The sequence below is a fragment of the Homo sapiens genome, chromosome 8 (genome assembly GCF_000001405.40).
Source record: "Homo sapiens chromosome 8, GRCh38.p14 Primary Assembly".
NCBI classification, from domain to species: Eukaryota; Metazoa; Chordata; class Mammalia; order Primates; family Hominidae; genus Homo; species Homo sapiens.
This window is the reverse complement of record NC_000008.11, coordinates 63,488,381-63,494,344: the sequence shown is the minus strand read 5'-3', so window position 1 is coordinate 63,494,344 and position 5,964 is coordinate 63,488,381. Positions and strand designations below refer to the sequence as shown.

General features: G+C 40.2%; 1 annotated feature.

Annotated features, from left to right (window-relative positions):
• Window positions 4,267-4,835: an enhancer, noted in NCBI's record as "NANOG-H3K27ac-H3K4me1 hESC enhancer chr8:64402068-64402636 (GRCh37/hg19 assembly coordinates)". NCBI's record gives its function as "activates a minimal SCP1, AML or CMV promoter by ChIP-STARR-seq in naive H9 embryonic stem cells {active_cell/tissue: H9 hESC(naive)}" and the evidence as "EXISTENCE:reporter gene assay evidence [ECO:0000049][PMID:30033119]".

Sequence of the window (5,964 nt, the reverse complement as noted above, 5' to 3'; positions counted from 1 at the left end):
AATCCTAAATGAGATCCTTAAACAGAAAAAATGAGTAAAAAACATTATTGAAGCATGTAACAAAATTGAAATATGGGCATTAGATTAGATAAAATTATTGTGTCAATGTTAATTTTATTAAAACTGATAACAGTATCAAAGAGAGAGGATGATGATAAATATTGAAGCAAATGGCATAACACATTAACAGGTAAATCTGGTTAAGGGATATATTGGCATTATATATACACTATTTATTTCTATTGTTGTAATTTTTTTCCAAATAAAATGTTTTGAAAATTAAAAATCAAAATTAAATCTGTAACAGTTGTCCTTACAACTTAATTAAAATTAATGAAGGGCCTCCATATTCCAAAAATTTGTTAAATATTCTTTTCTTTAATCCTAAGAATGGCATTTTCCAAATAACTGAGTAGGCTTAGGAAAATCTGTTCTTGGTTCTATTTTTCTAAAAATTTTATTAAATCGGCCTGGTGCAGTGGTTCATGCCTGTAATCCCAGCACTTTGGGAGGCTGAGGCGGGCAGATCACCTGAGGTCAGGAGTTTGAGACCAGTCTGGCCAACATGGCAAAACCCCGTCTCTACTAAAAATAGAAAAACTAGCTGGGTGTGGTAGCGTGCACCTGTAATCCCAGCTACTCAGGGTACTGAGGTAGGAGAATCACGTGAACCTGGGAGGCGGAAGTTGCAGTGAGCCATGCCACTGCACTCGAGCCTGGACAGAGCAAGACTCCATCTCACAAAAAAAAATATATTAAATCTCTTGTTTAAGTAAATATAAAGAACACTGATCAAAATTCTTTGCATAAAAAATGTACCAAAAACACATACTCACACACACAAGGGCTTGCATGTATAGAAAAACTTATATAAGTTTATTCAAGTAATAAGTAGTTAAAAACAAATAAAATTTAGTGACTTTTTCATGGCATAATTCTAGAAGGGATGTATAACTCATTTTATAATTATCCTGATATTCTATAATGCTCAAACTAAAGCCTTTAAGATACAATTTAACTTATATATACATAAAATCCTATATTTTGGTTGAATAACCAGTTTCATGTTTAGGATAGGGGAACCAAATTTGAAATTAGGCCTTATAAAAAATCTTAAAAGTCAAGTTGGCTACAAGCTTATTAGGTACTAATGTTTATTAAACGAACATATCTGTCACAAAATGCTATGAGAAAGTCTTAGGTGGCATTTATAAAGTGTAGCCACTAGATCAAGAAAAGTAAAAATTTCCACTGTCATACACCAGAGTTGTTGATTTAGGGGAGCCACATATTAGAAAAGATAATGACAAGCTCTGGAGTAAGTACAGAATTAAAGGTCTAGGATCTAGAGCAACCTTTTTCTTTTTTTCTTTTTTTTCTTTTTTTTTTTTTTTTTTTTTTTGCAATTATCAAACATCTACAATGTGCATTGTCTAAGAATATTTACAGTGAGGTGAACCCGTAGCCCATGCCTTCAAGGAATACTGCAGTTTTCTGGCATACTCCTCAACCACAGTGCCCTCGTTCAGGCTCTGCCCCCTCAACTCCTAACAGCAGGCTCCATCTCACTCCAGGTTCTGCTCTTACCCTCTTTCTACTTAGGCAAAGCTCAAAGAGTCTAGATGAGGATCAAGTCAACCCACCTGGTGCTGTGGCTATAACTACTCCCCAGGAATTAGGCTACCTCTAGGTACAGTGATTAAGGCCCTAGAGTTCTTGCCTGTATGCAATTTCTCTAAGGCTTATGTCTGGCTGTGAATATTTCTGTATTTTGAGAGAATGATTGCTATTCCTAAATTCTAACTCTGCCACTGGGCTGTTGTTACAAATCCCCTTGATAATGACCATCTGCTTGGCTCACTGTTATTACCAGCACAGATTTAGTGTCCTGGAAATCCACCTACCTATCAGGATACCTCTTAGACTTCCTTGGCACTGGCAGTTTCTCTAGACCATTGCCTACCTAAAACTACACTTTTGAGTTTGTCCCTGGAAGCCCAGTTACATGTATAAGCCTCTAAGTCTCAGTGCCTTCTGTATCAGATCTTTTCTTTGATTTAAAAAAAAATGCATCATTATACTAATAATTGCAGGACACTAAGAGAGAAGGAGAAACGGCAAATTTTGATAATGGTTCTAAGGGGTAAAAACTAAGTACTGCACAATTCTAAAGTGGCTTTCAACTGATTAAGGATTCAAAAAGTCATTTTAAAAGGAAGTGATACTTGATCTTGGTTTTCCATAGCCCACAAACACAATAAAGTGACTACACAATTGAGTCTACAAAACAACCAGCTAACAACATGATGACAGGATCAAAAACTCACATATCAATACTAAACCTGAATGTAAATCCTTTACTTAAAAGAAATAGAGGGGAAAGCTGAATAAAAAGACAAGATCCAACTGTCTGCTATCATTAAGAGACCTATCCCACATGTAATGATACTCACAGGCTCAAAGTAGAAAGATGAAGAAAGATCTACCATGCAAGCAGGCAACAAAAGAGAGCAGGAGTCACAATTCTTATAATAGATAAAACAGACTTTAAACCAATAACAATTAAGTAGGACACAGAAAGACATTACATAATGATAAAGATTTCAATTCAACATGAAGACTTAACTATCCTAAATATATACATATCGAACACTGGAGCACCCTGATTCATAAAAACAAGTTTGTCTTGACCTATGAAAACACTTAGACAGTCACACAATAATAATGAGAGACTTCAACACCCCACTGACAGTGTTAGACAGATTATTGAGGCAGAAAATTAACAAAGAAATTCTGGACTAAAATTCAACACTAGACCAACTGGACCTAATAGACATCTACACCCAACAACCACAGGATATACATTCTTCTCATCTGCACACAGAATATATCCTAAGGTTGACCACATTCTCAATTATAAAGCAAGTCTCAATAAATTCAAAACAACTGAAATCACCCAAAGCACATTCTTGGACCACAATGAATAAAAGTAGAAGTCAATGCCAAGAAGATCTCTCAAAACTACACAAATACTTGGAAATTAAACAACTTGCTTCTGAGGAACTCTTTGATGAACAATGAAATTGAGGCAGAAATTAAAAAAAAAACTTTGCAATTAATAAAAATAGAGACACAACTTACCAAAATCTTTGGGATGCAGCTAAAACAGTGTTAAGAGGAAAGTTTATAGTACTAAACACATTCATCAAGAAATTAGAAAGATCTCAAATCAACAATCTCACATCATACCTAGAGGAACTAGAGAAAAAGAACAAATCAACTCCAAAGCTAACAGAACAAAAGGAATAACTAAAATTAGGAAAGACTGAATGAAACTGAGATGCAAAAATCCATTCACAAGATCCATAAGCCAAGCACAGTGGCTCACACCTATAATCCCATCACTTTGGGAGGCCAAGGTGGGTGGATCAGTTGAGGTCAGGGGTTCAAGACCAGCCTTGCCAACATGGCAAAACCCTGTCTCTACTAAAAAGACAAATAAAATTAGCTAGGCACAGTAGTGTGTGCCTGTAATCTCAGCTACTCAGAAGGCTGAGGCAGGAGAATTGCTTGAACCTGGGAGGCAGAGGTTGCAGTGAGCCGAGATTACACCACTGCAGTTTAGCCTGGGCAAGAGAGTGAGACCCCATCTCAAAAAAAAAAAGAAAGAAAAGAAAAAATATTCATGAAACCAAGAGCCAAGAGTTGGTTTCTTGAAAGAATAAACGAGATTGATAGACTGCTAGCTAGATTAACAAAAAAAAAAAAGATCCAAATGAACACAATCAGAAATGACAAAGATGACATTGCAACTGATCCCACAGAAATACAGAAGATCCTCAGAGACTGTTATGAACACCTCTATGCATAAAAATTAGGATATATAGAGGAAATGGATAAATTCCTGTCAACACACACCCTCCCAGTATTGAACCAAGAAGAAAGTGAAAACCTGAACAGACCAATAATAAGTTCCAAAATTTAAGCAGTAATAAAAAACCTACCAACGGGGGAGGAGCCAAGATGGCCGAATAGGAACAGCTCCAGTCTACAGCTCCCAGCGTGAGCGACGCAGAAGACGGTGATTTCTGCATTTCCATCTGAGGTACCGGGTTCATCTCACTAGGGAGTGCCAGACAGTGGGCGCAGGTCAGTGGGTGCGCACACCGTGCACGAGCCGAAGCAGGGCGAGGCATTGCCTCACTCGGGAAGCGCAAGGGGTCAGGGAGTTCCCTTTCCGAGTCAAAGAAAGGGGTGACTGACGGCACCTGGAAAATCAGGTCACTCCCACCCGAATACTGCGCTTTTCCGACGGGCTTAAAAAACGGCGCACCACGAGATTATACCCCGCACCTGGCTTGGAGGGTCCTACGCCCACGGAGTCTCGCTGATTGCTAACACAGCAGTCTGAGATCAAACTGCAAGGCGGCAGTGAGGCTGGGGGAGGGGCGCCCGCCATTGCCCAGGCTTGCTTAGGTAAACAAAGCAGCGGGGAAGCTCGAACTGGGCGGAGCCCACCACAGCTCAAGGAGGCCTGCCTGCCTCTGTAGGCTCCACCTCTGGGGGCAGGGCACAGACAAACAAAAAGACAGCAGAAACCTCTGCAGACTTAAATGACCCTGTCTGACAGCTTTGAAGAGAGCAGTGGTTCTCCCAGCACGCAGATGGAGATCTGAGAACGGGCAGACTGCCTCCTCAAGGGGGTCCCTGACTCCTGACCCCTGAGCAGCCTAACTGGGAGGCACCCCCCAGCAGGGGAACACTGACACCTCACACGGCAGGGTACCCAACAGACCTGCAGCTGAGGGTCCTGTCTGTTAGAAGGAAAACTAACAAACAGAAAGGACATCCACACCAAAAACCCATCTATACATCACCATCATCAAAGACCAAAAGTAGATAAAACCACAAAGATGGGGAAAAAACAGAACAGAAAAACTGGAAACTCTAAAACGCAGAGCGCCTCTCCTCCTCCAAAGGAACGCAGTTCCTCACCAGCAACGGAACAAAGCTGGATGGAGAATGACTTTGACGAGCTGAGAGAAGAAGGCTTCAGACGATCAAATTACTCTGAGCTACGGGAGGACATTCAAACCAAAGGCAAAGAAGTTGAAAACTTTGAAAAAAATTTAGAAGAATGTATAACTAGAATAACCAATACAGAGAAGTGCTTAAAGGAGCTGATGGAGCTGAAAACCAAGGCTCGAGAACTACGTGAAGAATGCAGAAGCCTCAGGAGCCGATGCGATCAACTGGAAGAAAGGGTATCAGTGATGGAAGATTAAATGAATGAAATGAAGTGAGAAGGGAAGTTTAGAGAAAAAAGAATAAAAAGAAATGAGCAAAGCCTCCAAGAAATATGGGACTATGTGAAAAGACCAAATCTATGTCCGATTGGTGTACCTGAAAGTGATAGGGAGAATGGAACCAAGTTGGAAAGCACTCTGCAGGATATTATCCAGGAGAACTTCCCCAATCTAGCAAGGCAGGCCAACGTTCAGATTCAGGAAATACAGAGAACGCCACAAAGATACTCCTCGAGAAGAGCAACTCCAAGACATATAATTGTCAGATTCACCAAAGTTGAAATGAAGGAAAAAATGTTAAGGTCAGCCAGAGAGAAAGGTCGGGTTACCCTCAAAGGGAAGCCCATCAGACTAACTGCGGATCTCTCGGCAGAAACCCTACAAGCCAGAAGAGAGTGGGGGCCAATATTCAACATTCTTAAAGACAAGAATTTTCAACCCAGAATTTCATATGCAGCCAAACTAAGCTTCATAAGTGAAGGAGAAATAAAATACTTTACAGACAAGCAAATGCTGAGAGATTTTGTCACCACCAGGCCTGCCCTAAAAGAGCTCCTGAAGGAAGCGCTAAACATGGAAAGGAACAACCGGTACCAGCCGCTGCAAAATCATGCCAAAATGTAAAGACCATCGAGACTAGGAAGAAACTGCATCAACT